General features: G+C 49.7%; 1 protein-coding gene, 1 long non-coding RNA gene and 1 pseudogene across 12 annotated transcripts in view, besides 3 other annotated features; 2 read left to right on the top strand and 1 right to left on the bottom strand.

Moving 5' to 3' along the window:
* Nucleotides 1-19,751, top strand: part of KLHL22 (kelch like family member 22) — a 54,277-nt gene that overhangs the window by 20,445 nt on the left and 14,081 nt on the right. For 5 of the 11 annotated variants that reach the window (XM_017029025.2, XM_017029021.3, NM_032775.4 and 2 more), the window contains 3 exons: nt 3,836-4,001; nt 9,775-10,493; nt 17,351-17,543. In XM_017029025.2, coding sequence (XP_016884514.1) covers nt 3,840-4,001; nt 9,775-10,493; nt 17,351-17,543 — 1,074 coding nt within the window. In that variant the 5' untranslated portion in view covers nt 3,836-3,839. Of the gene's footprint in view, nt 1-3,835; nt 4,002-9,774; nt 10,494-17,350; nt 17,544-18,883; nt 19,132-19,751 lie in introns of all 11 variants that reach the window. The other 6 variants (NR_033825.2, XM_017029018.3, XM_017029022.2 and 3 more) reach the window with 2 other exon arrangements.
* On the top strand, nt 40-157 carry RNY1P9 (RNY1 pseudogene 9; annotated as a pseudogene).
* LOC124905085 (uncharacterized) lies at nt 67-14,376 on the bottom strand. The gene is made up of 3 exons (XR_007068014.1): nt 14,245-14,376; nt 1,900-2,215; nt 67-143 (listed from the first exon to the last, which is right to left on the bottom strand). It is a non-coding gene; the product is annotated as an uncharacterized LOC124905085 (long non-coding RNA).
* Nucleotides 10,936-11,125: an enhancer, noted in NCBI's record as "active region_18678". NCBI's record gives its function as "activates an Ori minimal core promoter by ATAC-STARR-seq in GM12878 lymphoblastoid cells {active_cell/tissue: GM12878}" and the evidence as "EXISTENCE:reporter gene assay evidence [ECO:0000049][PMID:35858748]".
* Nucleotides 15,423-15,621: a silencer, noted in NCBI's record as "fragment chr22:20814017-20814215 (GRCh37/hg19 assembly coordinates)". NCBI's record gives its function as "represses an EF-1alpha promoter that drives an FKBP-Casp9 reporter gene in an ReSE screen in phorbol 12-myristate 13-acetate-treated (for megakaryocytic differentiation) K562 erythroleukemia cells {active_cell/tissue: K562(+PMA)}" and the evidence as "EXISTENCE:reporter gene assay evidence [ECO:0000049][PMID:32094911]".
* Nucleotides 18,586-19,087: an enhancer, noted in NCBI's record as "H3K27ac hESC enhancer chr22:20810551-20811052 (GRCh37/hg19 assembly coordinates)". NCBI's record gives its function as "activates a minimal SCP1, AML or CMV promoter by ChIP-STARR-seq in naive H9 embryonic stem cells {active_cell/tissue: H9 hESC(naive)}" and the evidence as "EXISTENCE:reporter gene assay evidence [ECO:0000049][PMID:30033119]".

Raw genomic sequence — 19,751 nt, 5'->3', positions numbered from 1 at the left:
AAGTAAATGGTAAATTTGACAACATTGAAAACGAAGATAGGTTGGTCCGAAGGTAGTGTGAGTTACCTCAGTTGATTGTTCACAGTCACAGATCCAACTCCAGGTTCTACTTTTTCACCTTCTCACTACTGCAGTTGACTAGACTTGTTTAAAAAAAAAAAAAAAAAAGACAAATTTCTGCATGGCAAAAAAGCAATACAAAATCAAAAGATCGGGGAAACTCCTCATCAAAGAAAGGGCAGATTTCTTCAAATTGATAAGACAGTCTAACAGAAAACTGACTAAGAATCTGAACTGTTCAGAAAAGAAAATGGAAATGGCTCTTTAACATATAAGGAGATTTTCTGTACCTTATGTGATAAGGTTTTTCCCTTTTGTGGTGGTGAGTTAGAGCTGGTGTCTTCCTGGGTTGGGGGTAGAGGGTGCAGGCACCAGGCCCTGCTATCAGGAATGATATAAAAACAGCAACTTGACAATACTATCAAAGTATAAATGTATGTAAACCCTTCGACCCAGCAACTGTATTTGTGGGACTTAATCCTGGCATATGCATACTCAGCATGTTGTAAGGGTGAGGATGTTCATCATGTGAAATAACTGGAAATTACAAGTAACCTAAATATACCCCTGTAGAAATGGGTTAAAGAAGTGAGACAGCTGGCTGGGCGCGGTGGCTCATGCCTGTAATCCCAGCACTGTGGGAGGCTGAGGCGGGTGGATCACCTGAGGTCAGGAGTTTGAGACCAGCCTGGCCAACGTGGTGAAACCCCATCTCTACTAAAAATACAAAAATTAGCCGGGCATGGTGGCGCAGGACTGTAATCCCAGCTACCCGGGAGGCTGAGTTTGGAGAATTGCTTGAACCCGGGAGGCGGAGGTTGCAGTGAGCCGAGATTGCACCATTGCTCTCCAGCCTGGGCGACAAGAGCGAAACTCCATCTTAAAAAAATAAAATAAAATAAAAAAAGTGAGACAGCCTTTGCAAAGAGTGAGGCAGTCTTGCGTACATGGGCATGGATCAGTCTCCAAGCTATATTGTTAAGTAAAAACCGGGCTGGGTGCAGTGGCTCACGCCTGTAATCCCAGCCCTTTGGGAGGCCGAGGCAGGCAGATCACGAGGTCAGGAGATCAAGACCATTCTGGCTAACACGGTGAAACCCGGTCTCTACTAAAAATACAAAAAATTAGCTGGGCGTGGTGGGGGGCACCTGTAGTCCCAGCTACTTGGGAGGCCAAGGCAGGAGAATCAGTTGAACTCAGGAGGCGGAGGTTGCACTGAGCCAAGATCGCACCACTGCACTCCAGCCCAGGCAACAGAGTGAGACTTCGTCTCAAAAAAAAGAAAAAAGCCAAGTGAGATGTGGAATATGACTGCCCTGAGGATAGTGTGGCCCTGGGAGGGGAACTGACTGATGGTCTGGGAGCAGAGGCAAGGGGACTTTCACCACAACCTATACTGTATTTTTTTTGTGTGTGTGACAGAGTTTCACTCTTGTTGCCCAGGCTGGAGTGCAATGGCACGATCTTGGCCCACTGCAACCTCCGCCTCTTGGGTTCAAGCAATTCTCCTGCCTCAGCCTCCTGAGTAGCTGGGATTACAGGCATGTGCCACCATGACCAGCTAATTTTGTATTTTTGGTAGAGATGGGGTTTCTCCATGTTGGTCAGGCTGGTGTCGAACTCCCAACCTCAGATGATCGGCCTGCCTCGGCCTCCCAAAGTCCTGGGATTACAGGCGTGAGCCACTGTGCCCGGCCTAACCTATACTGTATTTTAAATCTGGTAGCATGTATATGTATTACCTAGTCAAAAAAATAAATAAAATGTAAAAATAGCTTCTCTTATAATCTTCATGTTGCTGTCATATTTAAACTTCAGCCCCAGTTGCCAGCCTCTTACCTCCAAACACCTAATCAGTGTCTACACTTGGAGGTTTCACAGGTATCTCACACTGATCACACAATCACGGGACTCCCAGCTGTCCAGATTTTCTTCCATCAGTAAAGGGTCCTCTTCGGCCCAGCAGAGGGCCTTGAGTCCTCCCAGGTCCTCCTAGATTCAGTCTGTCAGTAGGTTCTCTGTGCCGTGTCCCAGGGTAGTCTCAGCTACTGCTTTCTAGCTGCAATGCCCTCCCCAGGGCCAGGGTCACCCTTGGCCTCCAGGCCCACAGGAATCTCAGGCCTAATTGGTCTTCCAGGGGCTCCTCCTCCAGCACCTGAGTCGGAAAGCCAGTCAGTTCACATCACTCTGTGGGTAAATTCCTCAAGAGCATCCCATAATGCTCAGATTTCAATCTGGACTGTACCTACCCTAGAGGTAGGGGGACCTGGCTCCAAGGCCTGCCTGCCCATCCCACTTTCTGCTCACTTCGTCATCATCTTGGCTGCCTTGCATGCCAAGCTCTGCCTTGCCCCAGAACTTGTACACCTGTCTCCTTCACCTGGAACTCCCTCCCCGGCTGCCTACACCCTCTCAGCCTTATCCTTAGGTCTCAGTTCCTCAGATGGGGCTTTCCCTGCTCCTTCTCATCATTCCACCTACCCCTCTTCTAACCAGTGACTCTCAGGTCAGATGCCCTGCTGGGTTCCTTCTTAGCATTTATTTATATATGTATATATGTTTTTTGAGACAGAGTCTTGCTGTGTCACCCAGGCTGGATCGCAGTGGTGTGATCTCGGCTCACTGCAACCTCCGCCTCCCGGGTTCAAGCGATTCTCCTGCCTCAGCCTCCTGAGTAGCTGGGATGATAGGCGCCCGCCACCACACCCAGCTAATTTTTGTATTTTTAGTAGAGACGGGGTTTCACCATGTTGGCCAGGCTGGTCTTGAACTCCTGACCTCAGGTGATCTGCCCGCCTTGCCCTCCCAAAGTGCTGAGATTATAGGCGTGAGCCACCACGCCCGGCCAATTTTTGTAATTTTTGTAGAGACAGGATTTCACCGTGTTGCCTAGGCTGGTCTTGAACTCCTAGGCTCAAGGGATCTGCCTGCCTTGGCCTCCCAGAGGGTTGGGATTAGAGGCGTGAGCCACCGCGCCCAGCTATTTTACCAGTTTACTTCACTATAACTCCTTTTGCTCTTTGTTTTTTGTTTTGTTTTGCTTTTTGAGACAGTCTTGCTTTGTTGCCCAGGCTGGAGTGCAGTGGTGCAATCTTGGCTCATGGCACCCTCCGTCTCCCAGGTTCAATCAATTCTTGTGCCGCAGCCACCAAAGTAGCTGGGACTACAGATGCACAACATCATGCCCGGCTAATATTTGTATTTTTAGTAGAGACGCGGTTTCACCATGTGGGCCAGGCTGGTCTCGAATTCCTGACCTGAAGTGATTTGCCTGCCTTGGCCTCCCAAAGTGCTGGGATTACAGGTGTGAGTCACCGTGCCTGGCCTCCTTCTGCTCTTTGAATGATACTTGGCATTTGGTAGGAACTCCATAAATATACATTGAATGAAATGACTTTTATTAGTTTCCCATTAATTAATTCATTGCTTTGAAATGTGCTCTGGAGTTGCTACTGCTCCGATCCAGGAACTGCACTGATGAACACAGCAGAAGCAAGCTGCTTGTGGCCTCACCTCCCGAAGCTCACATGGGACTCCTTGGGCCCATGAAAAGGGAAACAGGACAATTTCCAGGATGGCTGCCCAGACTTCGTCAGGATCCTTTTGTGGGATGGCTCATGCATGCACACAGTTCACTCAGAGCACAGAGTGGGTCAGCCCACTACCAGGGCCCTGCCACCAGCGCCAGGTTCTTCTCTGAATGCTGTCACTCTTGGCAACATGGGCTTAAGTCCCTGTTGGTATAACTCCATTTTCTTGTGTCTTCACTTTGCAGAGGAATGTTTGCTGGGGGATTGAAGGAGATGGAACAGGAAGAGGTCCTGATCCACGGTGTGTCCTACAATGCTATGTGCCAAATCCTACATTTCATATACACCTCCGAGCTGGAGCTCAGCCTGAGCAATGTACAAGAGACACTGGTGGCTGCCTGCCAGCTTCAGGTGAGGCATGTCTCATCTAGCAAGGCAGACCCACACCCAGGTGGGGTTCCCTGAGATGCCCATGATGCCTGCCGGGCACTAGCATTGGCTTGAAGATGGGTCAGGAATGTGAGGAGACCAAGCAGTGACGAAGGCCATGAAGTGGGGAAGACTCTGGAGTTGTTCCTGGAGCTCAAGCAGAGCCGCTCTAGACACCCCAGGCCTCTGCCTTTGCCCTCTTCTCTATTGCTGGTTGTTTCCCCACTGTCTGAGTCTCCCTGTCATTGAAAGCATCCTGCACATAAGCAGGTAGGCTGACCCGAGGCTGCATGTGGACGTCCTGTGTGCTCTGGGGTCTGGCAATGGGGAGCATCCACCAGCATTGCTGCCAGGGCCCTTCCTGCCTGTCCCCTCACTGGGCCACTTCAGTCTCTTGAAAACTTATGTGTTTTGTTACTGAACTTTATCTATCTATTTGTCTGTCCATCCATCCATCCATCCATGCATGCACGCATCCATCCATCCATCCATGCATGCATGCATCCATCCATCCATCCATCCATCCATCCATCCATCCATCCATCTATCCATCCATCCATGCATGCATCCATCCATGGTGGCAGGCATCCATCCATCCATCCATCCATCCATGCATGCATCCATCCATCCATCCATCCATCCATCCATCCACCCATCCATCCATCCACTCATTCAATTTATTGGAGACAAGCTCTCTCTCTCTTGCCCAGGCTGGAGTGCAGTGGCACGATCACAGCTCACTGCAGCCTCAACCTCCTGGGCTCCAGCAATCCTTCTGCCTCAGCCTCCCAAATAGCTAGGACCTATAGGCATGTGCCACTACACCTGGCTAATTTTTAAATTATTTTTATAGAGATAGAGGCTTGCTTTGTTGCTTAGGCTAGTCTTGAACCCCTGGCCTCAAGTGATCCACCTCAGCCTTCCAAAGTGTTGCGATTACAGGTGTGAGCCACTGCGCCTGGCCTATTTTTTTTTTTTTTTTAAAGACAGGGTCTCACTCTGTTACCCAGGCTGTAATGCAATGGCATGATCATAGTTCACTGTAGCCTCCACCTCCTAGGCTCAAGTGGTCCTCCCGCCTCAGCCTTCTGAGTAGCTGGGACTAAAGATGCGTGCCATTGTGCCTAGCTGATATTATATATATATATATTTTTTTATAGGAATGGGGCCTTGTTATGTTGCCCAGGCTGGTCTCAAGCTCCTGGCCTCAGGTGATACTCCCACCTTGGCTTCCCAAAGTTCTGGGATTACAGGTGTGAGCCTCTGTACCCAACCTGTTATTGAACTTTAAGTACTTGTTTTCCTGCAGAATTCAAAAAGTTTTCTGAGGCTTTGACAGTGTGACTTATGTTTTGGATGATTATTCTCAGTGGTGTGGGTGCAGTTACACGGGACTGGGCCTGCAGGTGCCTTTGAGCTATCAGGCAGAGGCCTGATAGGAGTTGACAGTCACCTCTTCCCACATTTCTTAAAAGTGAAACAAAATGCTATGCTAAGTTCATCATTCTGACCTTTCTTCCCATGAGAGCAGGTTTGACGCAATTAAAAAAAAACAACTCAAGTCACAGGAAAACCAACCTGTTCGGGGGCATGTGGAGGTGCCACCCCATGTGACAGGGCCCTGGCAGCCTCCCTGTGCCCTGTTCTCAGATTGGTGGATAGGACCTGGATGCTGGGTGGGTTGATCTGAGATGACTGACTTGTCTCACCATACCTGCATGGTGAGTAGATGGAGTTGGCTTTTACAACAAAAGAATTTCCCCCTGTTCTTTTATTTAGAGATCTCTTCTGTCCCCACATCCCTGTCATTGTTGCTTTGGGAACCCTCATCCAATTCTCCACCCTGGCAGCAGTTAACTCCTGATTCAGCTGCCTCTGAAACATCTCCCCCAGCATGGCTCAGGTCCAGCTGTCCTATCTCCTCCTCCACACCTGCCACTCTCCCGGAGCTCCCCTGTCAGTCCCCCTGCTCTGTGTGTCCTGTGACCATCCTGCCAGTTCCCTGGGCTCAACCTCAGTGGCTCCTTGAGCCCGTCCACCTTCTTAATTCCCTGCGTCCATGTGAGGACAGGTCATCCTTCTCGGTATTGCTTGTAGCCATCTCTGTTCTGTGTTTCCATTTCCTTCCCTTTTGCCTGGCCTCCATCTGTATGTTTCTGCCATTTCTTTCTTCTCCCTGCAGTGATCACACACACTGAAACCAGATCATCTTTCTAACATCACTTTCCCTCTCTCACCAGTCAGCTTGGAGGCCTGCAGTCTCTCTCTGTTGGTTTGGCCAGTGCTCCCGACAGCCCTGGGTCATCTCCCCCAGTGCCTCAGAGGTCATCTCAGAGGCAGCAGCCTATCTTAGTTTTTTAACATATCAGGCTTCTGGGCCAGGCTTGGAGGTTCATGCCTGTAATCCCAGCACTTTTGGAGGCCAAGGTGAGAGGATTGCTTGAGGCCAGGAGTTTGAGATCAGCCTGGGCAACAAAGCGAGACCTCTACAGAAGCACTTTAAAAATAGCCGGGCATGGTGGCATGCACCTGTAGTTCCAGCTACTCGGGAGGCTGAGGTGGGAGAATCACTTGAGCCCAGGAGGTGGAGGCTTCAGTAAGCTGTGATCACCACACCACTACATGCCAGCTTATCTCAAAACAAAAAACAAACAAACAAAAAAAAACAGGCTTCTTCACAATATTGTTTTATAGCAGGTTTTACTTGGCATAACCATGTCAAGTCCATAGGCCTGTAGAATCATGTATGTTCACATAGCTAGTGACTTTTGGAGGCTTCCCCCATGTGTTGTGCCCTGCAGTAGGCCTGGGACCAGATTCTTCACGGTGTCCCCAGAGGCCTGAGTCTGATTCCCAGTAACACTGTCCTATTGGGTTACCCCAAGCAAATGCAGTCCCTTCTGTGAGCCTCGTATGGGGCTTTTGCACATCCTGAGCCCAGGCTGGTTCCTCTGTGAGATTTCACTGAACAGAAGGCCCACTGCTCTAAAAATAGGACTGAAAGGAGAGTCAGCAGGGTCCTCTCAAGGAGCTGCTGCTGCCCAGGCTTCTTCAGGGCTGTTTGTGCTCACATTCTGCCCAAAACTTGGTCTTCAGGACCCTGGCCCATGACAAACCAGAATTTTAGGAAAACCTAGTAGTTTGGGAAGAAGTGGCAAAGCAGAAGACTGGCAAAAAGGGAAAAAAGAAGGTCAAGTGAAGCTGGTCAGGGCCTAGCAAAGCACCATGGGGATACCTCATGTAGGGCACATACCTGCCTGACATTTGGTAGGTCTCATCCAGCTCTTAGCATGTCACCTTGCAAGCAATATTAGATGTCTTTTGAATTTTAAAAAAGTTATAGTTAGTGTTTATTGATAAGCTTTAAATACCTTGGCCGGGCGCCGTGGCTCACGCCTGTAATCCCAGCACTTTGGGAGGCCTAGGCGGGCAGATCACGAGGTCAGGAGATCGAGACCATCCTGGCTAACACGATGAAACCCCGTCTCTACTAAAAATACAAAAAATTAGCCGGGCGTGGTGGCGGGCGTCTGTTGTCCCAGCTACTTGGGAGGCTGAGGTGGGAGAATGGCGTGAACCCGGGAGGCGGAGCTTGCAGTGAGCCGAGATCGTGCCACTGCACTCCAGCCTGGGCAACAGAGTGAGACCCCATCTCAAAATAATAAATAAATAAATACATAAATACCAGCAGAATTATTCCATGTGTAATGGTTAATTTATTGATGATCCTGGATAAGCCAGGTATTCCCATTTTTAGAGAAACTGATTTATTGCATTGAACACATGGCTGGAGTTGGTAGCAAGGGGGTTCCCACAAGAGGGGACCCCACAGCATCCTGAAATGGAGCCGTTTTGGGATTCCAAAGAAAGAAGCATCAAACACCAGGGTGATCTGGCCAGAGCGTTTATTAGGGGAACTTATGTATAGAGTGATGTAGCATGTCCTCAAGACAGACAAGGGAAAAGAGAGGCTTTACCCAGGCTTGCCCACAGAGTGGGTTAGTGTATGGAGTTTCTATGAGGGTTTAAGGAATTTGTCTCAGGGCCAGAACCAGTTTTTCCTTCAGTGTTTTGGGTAACAACCTTGATGCCTTTATCAGTGCCTGGGAATGTTCAAGGGCCTGGTTTGGGTTCAAGCCTGCTGGGAGAACCTGCAGCTGTCTGGGTCACAGAGAGGTCAAGGTACTCGTCATTTTCAATCTGAACATGGAAAGAAAGGAGGTGGGCACTGGGGGGCCCCACTGAAACTCTAAAATCCTGCTTTCCTAAATAATTTATCAACACCTGGTTTGTTCTCCCAGGCAGTTTTCCCTAGGGCCCTTCCCTTTGTCTCCTATTCTCCCAAGATTTGGTTGTCTGTTCACAGGGTGGCCTTTAACAGCCTGCTGGTTGTGGCCTTGTTCCCACCTCCCTCCAGTGTCATTCTCTCTCTTGCCGTCCTTTCAAACCACTAGTGCTTCCCCATGGCTGGGAAGGGTTGATATGGCCACCTGGGAGCCCCTGCACTTACTGGAGTCAAGTGGGTCTTGACCCAGCTGGGAACCTCAAGAACCCTGAGTCAGGGATCACTTGAGCCCAGAAGCTTGAGACTTCGGTGAGCTATGATCTTGCCATGGCACTGCAGCCTGGGCAACAGAGCAAGACCCTGTCTCAAATTTTAAAAAGAAAAAAGAAAAATAATTCTAAATCAGGTTCCTGGGTGGGTATTGGTTAGGTGTCTGAGAGGCTCTGAGCACTTCTAGGGAACCAGGGTGGATGTTCTGGCGGGGGAAAAAGCCAGGTTTGTTTCTGGTCCCAGCGCTTTTGGAGAGGCAGGCTCTTCCAGAGAATCCTAGGGTAGGGATGGGGATGGTCTTAGGTCCTTTCCAAACCACAGATATATGACACAGTGACCATTTGTGCTGCTTCCTGCTTTTCTGGAGAGCCAGTACTTCTTTTTTTTTTTTTTTTTTTTTTTTTAGACGGAGTCTCGCTCTGTCACCCAGGTTGGAGTGCAATGGCGCGATCTCGGCTCACTGCAACCTCCGCCTCCTGGGTTCCAGCGATTCTCCTGCCTCAGCCTCCTGAGTAGCTGGGATTACAGGCGCGCGCCACCACGCCCAGCTAATTTTTGTATTTCTAGTAGAGACGGTGTTTCACCATGTTGGTCAGGCTGGTCTCAAACTCCTGACCTCGTGATACACCCACCTTGTCCTCCCAAAGTGCTGGGATTATAGGCATGAGCCACCGCACCCGGCCGAGCCAGTACTTTTGATCTAAGAGGGAACTGACATATATCAAGGGTCCACTCCTATGTGCTCTCTCATTTTCATCATGTTCCTCTTCACTTTAATGATCCCCGTTTTATAGATGAGGAGACTGAGGCTTAGAGAGGTTAAAAACATTCTGTACGGGAGGCTGAGGCAGGAGAATCATTTCAACCCGGGAGGGGGAGGTGTTAGTGAGCCGAGATTCTGCCACTGCACTCCATTCTGGGCAACAAGAGCGAAACTTTGTCTCAAAGAAAAGCAAAACAAAACCAAAAAAAAACATGCTGTATATCCTGTCACCCAGTATGTTTCCAAACCAGGACTTAAACCTAGTCTGCAGTAAGCCCCAGTCTCCAGTGTGTCAGAAAAGGTCGGGGACAATTAAGGAGGACTTCCCTTCTGCTTTGCCTGGCCCACAACAGCCCGTATTTCTGCCATCATTCTCTCTCCCACCCCCAGATGCTGTTCACCAGCCCAGGCTTGAATGGGTGTCATTCTCTCTGCAGATCCCAGAAATTATCCATTTCTGCTGTGATTTCCTCATGTCCTGGGTGGACGAAGAGAACATTCTCGATGTCTACCGGCTGGCAGAGCTGTTTGACTTGAGCCGCCTGACTGAGCAACTGGACACCTATATCCTCAAAAACTTTGTGGCCTTCTCTCGGACTGACAAGTACCGCCAGCTTCCATTGGAGAAGGTCTACTCCCTCCTCAGCAGCAATCGCCTGGAGGTCTCCTGCGAGACCGAGGTATATGAGGGGGCCCTTCTCTACCATTATAGCCTGGAGCAGGTGCAGGCTGACCAGATCTCGCTGCACGAGCCCCCAAAGCTCCTTGAGACAGTGCGGTTTCCGCTGATGGAAGCTGAGGTCCTGCAGCGGCTGCATGACAAGCTGGACCCCAGCCCTTTGAGGGACACAGTGGCCAGCGCCCTCATGTACCACCGGAACGAGAGCCTACAGCCCAGCCTGCAGAGCCCGCAAACGGAGCTGCGGTCGGACTTCCAGTGCGTTGTGGGCTTCGGGGGCATTCACTCCACGCCGTCCACTGTCCTCAGCGACCAGGCCAAGTATCTAAACCCCTTACTGGGAGAGTGGAAGCACTTCACTGCCTCCCTGGCCCCCCGCATGTCCAACCAGGGCATCGCGGTGCTCAACAACTTCGTATACTTGATTGGAGGGGACAACAATGTCCAAGGATTTCGAGCAGAGTCCCGATGCTGGAGGTAGGACAGGGTGCTAGCTGGTCCCTTTGTCTTCAGGTGATGAGAGGGTGTGGAAGTCATGGGCTGAGAGAGCTGGTCAGGTTCCCCCCAGCCTTTCACATGAGCATCACTTGCCATTGTGGAATGAAGTCTAGGTGAATTCAGAGAAGGTGGACAGCAGTGAGATAAGAGAAGGGGACATGTGGATCGCCTTCTTTCCTGCATGTCCCCTACTCCTCAGAAACCCACTTACCCTGGACCCTTGCTCAGCCTCTTTGGGGTAGGCTAGGTTGCGAGTGCATTGTGCAGGAGGAGACGGGAGGGGAGAGGAGCCCACAGCAGGAAAGGCAGTCGGACTGGGATGGAGAGGACCTAGGAGCAGTGCCAGCTGAGCAGCCTCGCCCTCCATCATGCTCTCTCTGAGCTTTGATGCATGTTGTTTCAGTTTCCCTTCACCAGTCAGCTTTGCTCTTCTCTCTTACCTGCTTGCTAATGGTGGAACAGGCTTCCTGCTGCTGTGCCTGAGCAGCATGCGGTCTTCAGCCCAGGGGCGTGGTAAAGGCCAACAAGCATCACCGAGCCTCATGCTACATTTCCGCTCTGCCCTGCAGTCTGCCACGCACTTGGCACAATTTCCCCTGGGAAGAGGCAGTTTTCCCAAGAGAGAGTTTTGTGGACTGCTGTGGTCCGTAGGATGCGCCTGGCTCCATCAGTCACTTAGGCTGTGATCTCACAAATCCATTTCTGGGCAGAGCAAGGGACAGTGGTTCAGGCCCACAAGACTCAGCTACCATTAGATTTCCAGGGACCCCTCCACCTTACCTTGGTGCATGTGAGAAATCTCCCTACCCTTCATGCTGAAAGATGGAGCTGTGTTGGAGAGAGAGAGATTGCCAACTATTTCCAGCAGCCATGAGCTAGATGCTGACTGAGTTCATGTTCATGTTTCTATTTTCTGGGGTCAGGGTGGGGTAGGGCCTGGCCTGGCCATGCCACTTGGAATCAAGCATAGTGATCCTGGCCAAGGAGGAGAAGGCCATTTCTCAGCGACCTCTCTACTGCTGGCCCCAGGAAGTGATCTCCTTTGTTAAGCTGATGAGACTCAGAGGTTGGCAATAACACATTGTGGTTAAATATGAGGAAGGGCAGGTTTCAGAAAAAAGGAAACAGCTACCTTCATTTCCTCTCTAAACAAAGTTGTGCCCCCAGTGGGTGTGGCCACACTAGGTTTAGACTTCCCTTTGGCCAAACCTTAAACCTTCTTTTTTAGGGGGCTCGGTTTCCCAGTTGGGGGGCCAAGGCCAGACCACCCTGCTGAGAGTAACCTACAGACCTGCAAAGCCAATCTCTCCAGAGTGTTTTGGCTTCTGGCCCTTAGCAGAAGGTAGAGACAGCTGTGTGCTTGGCAGTAATGCTGGATGTTTCCACAGAGCTGTCCCTAGGGGGGTGACAGCTTGGGATTCTGCCTGCCCCTGTCCTCTGTCCACCTGCTATGGGCCATTGATCTCACTTTCACTTAAAGTAGGAGTCTGAATTTCCCCTTGTGAAGGGGTGTGAGACCAAAGCTGAACTCTGGGTAATGCTAATATTAGACCCTGTAACCAATAACCAGTCCCAAACTCCTGTCTGAGAGTAGGATCACAATGGCAAGTGGGGTCGGCAAGACCTGCCTTGAGAGAGTAGGTATCCACAGAGTGGAGGTGGCAGGAAGGACCACAGCCCTACTGGTTAACCCAGGGATGTATCATCTCTCCAGAATGAAGGCATCATTAACCTTCCAGTGGACTCAAAACTTCCAGATGAATCCTTAATTTGAATATTCTAAGATTTGGTTCTTTCTCTGCTTTCTCATTTCATCAGCCTTAGAACTGGTGAATTCTAAAAGCTATAGGCTTTTAGAATATAAGGAAACAAGATTTTGCAGTAAATTAGGCTTTGCATTTTGAGGAGTTATTACTTACCAGGTTATATCTTAAAGCATTGGTGCAGAAACCGCATATTTAAAAACCTTTCCTCTCTTGGAGCAAATGGTGTTTGTCTCCAATATACTACTTTTTCTCTTTCATTCCTTCTTTCTTTGCATCTATATTATCTGCATCATTCCTTGTACCTTTCCCATAGCCATAGCCCTGTGGATTACTGAACACCAACTACATGGTATACCTAGTAGTAGCTGGTTACATGTTGCTATGTGCCCTGACCCTACTTAAAATAATAATTTAGGCTATGTGCAGATCATGTCAATAATCCCAGCACTTTGGGATGCTGAGGCAGCAGGATCTTTTGAGCCCAGGAGTTCAAGATCAGCCTGGGCAACAAAGCGAGACCTCGTCTCTACCAAAAAAAAAAAAAAAAAATTAGCTGGGCCTGATGGTACGTGCTTGCAGCCCTGGCTACTTGGAAGGCTGAGGCAGGAGGATCGCTTGAGTCCAGGAGTTTTAGACTTCGGTGAACTATGATCATGCCCCTGTACTGTAGCCTGGGCAACAGAGTGAGACCCTGTCTCTAAAAAAAATTTTTTAAATAATAATGTAATTTTTCCTTCGGCATTTCATGGCTGCTAATATTTTAAAGTAAATTTAATTTTTTTTTTTTTTTTTTTGAGACAGAGTCTCGTTCTGTCGCCCAGGCTGGAGTGCAGTGGCACGATCTCGGCTCACTGCAACCTCTGCCTCCCGGGTTCAAGCCATTCTCCTGCCTCAGCCTCCTGAATAGCTGGGATTACAGGCGCCGACCACCACGCCCAGCTAATTTTTTTGTTTTTTTGTTTTTTTGTTTTGAGATGGAGTCTCGCTGTTTTCTGCCCAGGCTGGAGTGCAATGGTGCAATCTTGGCTCACCACAACCTCCGCCTCTGAGGTTCAAGCAATTCTCCTGCCTCAGCCTCCCGAGTGGCTGAGATTACCGGTGTACGCCACCATGCCTGGCTAATTTTGTATTTTTAGTAGAGATAGGGTTTCACCATGTTGGCCAAGCTGGTCTTGAACTCCTGACCTCAGGTGATCTGCCCACCTGGGCCTCCCAAAGTGCTGGGATTACAGGTGTGAGCCACCACGCCCGGCCATTTTTTTGTATTTTTAGTAGAGATGGAGTTTCACCATGTTGACCAAGTTGGTCTTGAACTCCTGACTTCAGGTGATCCGCCTGCCTCAGCCTCCCAAAGTGCTGGGATTACAGGCATGAGCCACCCACCGTGCCCGGTCAGTACATTTAATTTATTTAAAAAATTTAATAGACATTAAAACATTAATAGTCATGAAAATACTTAAGTCATGGAAATATAGAAGAAAAACAGTCTACTGAATTTTTTTTTTTTTTTTTTTTTTTTTGAGTTGGAGTCTCTCTGTCACCCAGGCTGGAGTGCAGTGGCGTGATCTCAGCTCACTGCAAGCTCCACCTCCTGGGTTCACACCATTCTCCTGCCTCAGCCTCCCGAGTAGGTGGGACTACAAGCGCCCACCACCACGCCTGGCTAATTTTTTGTATTTTTAGTAGAGACGGGGTTTCACCGTGTTAGCCAGGATGGTCTTGATCTCCTGACCTCATGATCCTCCCGCCTTAGCCTCCCAAAGTGCTGGGATTACAGGCGTGAGCCACCGTGCCTGGCCACAGTCTAATGAATTTAACAAGAATTCCAGAATATTTTTGTACCAACTCTAGGGTTCATGTCTGAGTTTACAATAGGATGATACAAATCTGAGTTAAAGTGACTCTCCTAGTCAGTTTCAGCTGCTATAACAAATACTATAGATGGAGTGACTTAAACAACATACCTCTATTTCTCACTGTCTGGATACTGGGAAGTCCAAGATCATGGTATTGGCCAGTTTAGTCCCGGTAAGGTCCTTTCCGTCTGTGTTCTCACATGGTGGAGAGAAAGAGCTGTAGCCTCGGGCACTAAGCCCATCATGGGGCTCCACCCTCATGACCTGATCACCTCCCAAAGGCCATGCCTCCCACTACCATCACAATGGGGGTTAGGCCTTCAACATAGGGGTTTTGGGGGAATCCAAACATCTAGTCCATAGCAATAAGTAAAATTGTTTATATCTTTATATGCAAAAATAAAGCTTATTTTTATTAGAAAAATATTACTTGAGGACTTATTCTCATAAAGTAGAAAATTAATTCAATAAAGAAGAAGAGGGATACAGGACACAACAGGGAAATAAGAAATCAGTGTAACTTTGGCTATGTCTAAATTATTGACATATGGTATCACTGTTGGTGTCTTTTTTTTTTTTTTTTTTTTTTTTTTTTTTTTTTTTTGGGGGATGGAGTTTCACTCTGTCGCCCAGGCTGGAGTGCAATGGCATGATCTCAGCTCACTGCAACTTCTGCCTCCCGGGTTCAAGTGATTCTCCTGCCTCAGCCTCCCGAGTAGCTGGAACTACAGCCACACACCACCATGCCTGGCTAATTTTTTTATATTTTTAGTGGAGACGGGGTTTCACCATATTGGACAGTCTGGTCTTGAACTCCTGACCTCGTGATCCACCCGCCTCAGCCTCCCAAAGTTCTGGGATTACAGGCGTGAGCCACCACGCCCGGCCCTGTGTGTGTCTTTAAATTTGAAGCCACAAATCCACATGAACTCAGCTTAAAAAGCTGTGAGGACAATAGACTCGAAGGAGCAAACAGGAGCACATGGAGGGTCCTATCTCACTCTGGTTGCAGACACTTGGGGTGCAGATGGTGATTGAGCCAGACTGAACACAAGAGAGGAGAGACTTGTATATAAAGGAGGAAGGCGCACAGGAAAGGCAGTGAACAGCACCATCCCAGCCAGTTGACGGGGCCCCTGTGAGTGCTGTGCCCCAATCCTGGACTGCTGGTCCCCTGCCAGACCTTCTTCTGGCTTGTGCCCCAGGTCATGCAGGTCTCAGACCCTGCCTTCTCAGGAGGCCTTTCCTGATCACTGCAAGGGAGCTCTGCCCTCCCCAGGCCCCGCTGACCAGCAGGTCACTCATCTTCTTACCTCCCTTTCTTTCTTTCACAGTGTCTGTCATTATATTAAGCACTCATTTGCTCTGGTTAGCCTGTTTCCATTCTGCAGGGGAAGGCAGGGCCCTGACCTCTTGAGGCTCCCTCTGGATGTAGTGCTGAGCACTGTGCCCCATCCACAGTGGGAGACCTGGGAATGTTGGTAGAGTGAATGAATGATTCATTGCTGGTAATCTTACTCCTTTGTTTAATTCATTCAGCAGACAGAACATAATCTGTCCTGAGCCAGAGGCTACACTGAGGTCTAGGAATATAGAAATGAACCATGATCCATCAGAACCCCCAAGTTAACAAGGACACTTTTCATGCTCGTCTTTTATGATTCTTCTTGATAGCTTTTCTAGGCAGGTGATATCACCTCATTGGACAGGTGCAGAACTGAGCGAATCCCAAGAGATTAAAACTGATGCCCAGGCACACCCAGCTAGACAGGGAAGAGCCCAGGATTCACACCAGGTCAGGGAGACCCAGGTGTGTGTTCCCTCTCTTGTTGGCCCTGCCTTCTGAGGCTCCTGTTTGCTGCATTCCTGGTAGGCGGCGGGGAGGGGCTGGCCACACTGCAGGGGCTGCAGGAAGCAAAGGATGAAACTGATCTTTTCACTAACCAGCATAGGGCACAGGCCAAAGAAAACTTTGGTTACTCTCTTGTGAGCCAGTTGAAGTTAGACTTGTTCTCTTTGGAATAGGTCTTCCTCTGCAGAAATAAAAACACTTGTCTGAAAGAGGCTGTAACTATCTGTGGGCTGTTGGGCAAGGACACTTCAGATACTGGCTTTGAGCTCACTGGGTCCTGGCCCCTCATGGCTCTGTGATCATCTCTGCTCCACATTGCAGGCCATGCTCCCTGTTGGTGCTCAGCCCAGGAGCCCTCCTTGGGTCCTGGCCAGACTCCTCCACCCTCGTGGGCCTGCCGCAACCAGTCTAGTGCCTTTTCTCCCATGGGGGTCCCTGGAATCTCACACACCCTGCCCTTACAGAGCCTGCAGTCCAGGGTGGGAGTTAACCCTTTCCACTTTCCCAGAGAGGGAGACCTTGAGTGGAGGGGAGGTCAGGAAACGCGGGGCTGGCAGCATGGTGGGAGGAGGTGAAAGTACGATGACCAGAGCCTTGTGTGTGCGGCTGTTGACAAAGCTGAGGGTATGATGGGTGCTGTGTGCAGGGCGTGCCTGAGAAGACCACTCCTGATGGAGTGCTGGGGGAAGTTCAAGGCTTGGAGGCCAATGAGGGGGCTGATGGCACCCATCCAGTGGAGAGGCTGTATTTGGAGGCCCTCCTGAGTGGGAGCAAGGCTATGTGGATGATGAGATGAGGTAAGTGAGATGGAAGTGGCTGTACGAACAGCCATTGAGGCTGAGGCAGGAGGATTGCCTAAGTCCATATCCCAGGTGTCAAGACCTTGTCTCTATCAAAAAAAAAAAAAAAAAAAAAAATAGCGGGCGTTGTGGTGCGCACCTGTAGTCCCAGCTACTTAGGAGACTGAGGTGGTAGGATCACTTAAGCCCAGGAGGTCGAGGCTACAGTGAGCCATGATTGTGCCACTGCACTTCAGCCTAGGGGACAGAGAGACCTCTCTCCACAAAAAAAAAAAAAAAAAAAAAAAAAGAGCCATTGGACAGCCCAGGTGGACAGTTAGGTGGAAACACAGGAGGCTCCTGGCCATTCCTTCCATGCTGTGTGGTGGGGAGCACCTGTGCTCAGGTGTGTAACAGCCTGTGGGCCTGGCTGTAGATCGGTGTGCACTGGTATGTGGGGTAGTTGGGGAGGGTTCAGGCTGGGCTGAGGCAAAGCAGAAATGGGACCAGAACAAGAGGTGCAAGCCTGCGGAGCAGCCTCCCTGCCTAGTCAGTGCTGTGCTTTCCTCATGTCTCGGCACAGGTATGACCCACGGCACAACCGCTGGTTCCAGATCCAGTCCCTGCAGCAGGAGCACGCCGACCTGTCCGTGTGTGTTGTAGGCAGGTACATCTACGCTGTGGCGGGCCGTGACTACCACAATGACCTGAATGCTGTGGAGCGCTACGACCCTGCCACCAACTCCTGGGCATACGTGGCCCCACTCAAGAGGGAGGTAAGGAAGCCCTCGAAGAGGGGCCTTCTCCTGCCTAATTTCCTTCCCCAGGATGTGCAAAGAGTGAGAGGCCTAGGTGTCAAGGCCTGTCCCAGGTCAGAGAAACAGGCTCAGTGAGCAGAATCCATGCTTCTCCAGAGACCCTGCATTGAATGCATTGATGAGGCCCCATGAGGTTCAGCCAGTCCACCTGGGGAGGCTCATCAAGGATCCAGACCCCATTGCTCAGAATTGTGCCCCACTTGTGAGTCTTACATGCTGAGACCTTGTCACACCACCTTGGCCCTGGCAAGCTGCTTAAACCTTGTAGTTCAAATGTGGATAGAACATTTGCTCTTTGTGCAGCTGAGACGAGCTGGGACACTTCCAGAGATGTTAAACAGGAAGGGACCCTGAGAGCTCACTGGCCTATCCTCAGACCTCTTCCCTCTAGGTCCCCTGAAGGGTGGCGCCTTCCAGAGCCAAGAAACACTCTAAGGTTTTATTTTTTATATTAAATCCTATGTTTGAATATTGGGACAACTTGAAAAAAAAATCACGTGCATCCTATATAATACCTTGGTTTATTCCAATTTGAAGATGTTTAAAATTATGTTCATTATGGAAAAATGATGTTTTAGGGAGGTGCCTCTCTTTTATCTTACGACTTTGGGGTACTCAGGCCTGGTGTAACAACCAGACATGGGATCCCAGGGAAGGAACAGGCCTTGCTGGCCCCCTACTTCCTGGGTCTCAGCCTCCGAGAACAGGGCATACCCTAGCAGTACTAGGGGTACCCTAGCAGGGCACCCCGCTAGTACTGGCATAGCATTTGTGGAGCACCTGCTATGGGCCAGGTACACCTTTGGGGATAACCGAGCACCTGAGAGGCAGAGGATGGTATGGGGGGCAGGTTCTACCTGCACTGCCTCAGGGAGTTTAGCAAGAGCTCTGGCCTTTGTAAGCCTCTTTCCAGTATCTCTCATGACCCCCAATTCCCCCAGGGACTTAGACTTTGACTTCAGGGGTCAGGGCTAGTGTCTCCTCAATGGATCCAGCTCTTCTTTATCCAGGTCATTCACACAGCCCACACAGATTTCTGTCTCTTGGGCAGCTGTGAGCTGCAAGCTGTGGCCTGCTCCTTGCTCTCAGCTTCTTTGGGGAGAAGGAAGCCTCTTTGGAAGGACACTCCGTACCCCCATCCTGGGGAAAGGAGCAGATTTTGCATGGAGAAGATCAGGAGGTCCTTGAGACCAAGTGGACAAGGAGGGCTCTTGGGTTCTGTTCCAGGAAGGGTGTTGGGGGAAGCCTCCTAGGTGGGTGTTGTGGGAGGGGCTTAGCAGTTTCTTTGTCTGCGGCAGCTGGGGAAGCAGCAGTTCTCCAGCTTGGCCACAGAGGGGCAGCCTTGGCTTTCAACCAGCTGCATCGTGGCTGCCGGTGTTCCTTCATGCACGCATTCATTCCGCAACTACTAAGCACCATGTACCAAGTCCTGGGAATCCAGTGGTGACAAGAAATGAGAAAGACTCCCCACTCCATGGTGTTTACAGCCTTGTAGGAGAAACCACTCTTAACCAGAAAACAGATCAGTAAAGTGGTTACAATTATGGTAAGTGAAATGAAGAGGGGGCTGAACTGGAGGATTTCCAGGGAGGGGGCTCTGGTAGGATGAATCTAGAGGGACTTTTTGGGGAATGTCCATCTGAGGAGATGTCAATTAGACCTGCCATTTACAGAGGGAGGAAATGTTACTGGGAATGTGTCCTCGGTTCTTGTCTTCTTGGTTAAGACTTTAAGCAAGAGACATGCATTAACGAAGATAAGTGTAAGGCAGTTTATTGCAAAAGTGAAGGTACATTCTGAAGGCCGAGTCAGAGCAGGCTGCTCCAGAATAAGATCGCCCCAACTGGCATGGGAAACCTCCCTTACAGGAGGCTTACATGATTATTCATAAATGGGCGGGAAGAGGTGTTACTCATAAGCATGTTTTGTTTGGGTGGTCTTCTAGCAGCGCATGCACTGTGGCTCTACGTGCTAGTGTATTTATCGCATGTCTCATTAGCATCTTAAATCTTCACCCAGGAGGTGTGTTTTTTACCACTGCAGTGAACAAAAGGTTACTTTCGAAGCAAGCAAAACTGGGGCAAACTATACAACACAGGCTCCCGGGGGTGGAAAGTTCCTTGTGGGGTTAGTTCCTACTTGAGCTGGATAAGCTTAACTGAAAGA

Source organism: Homo sapiens, chromosome 22 (assembly GCF_000001405.40).
Source record: "Homo sapiens chromosome 22, GRCh38.p14 Primary Assembly".
NCBI lineage: Eukaryota > Metazoa > Chordata > Mammalia > Primates > Hominidae > Homo > Homo sapiens.
The sequence above is the reverse complement of the archived record's forward strand: the minus strand, read 5'-3'. Positions and strand labels throughout refer to the sequence as shown.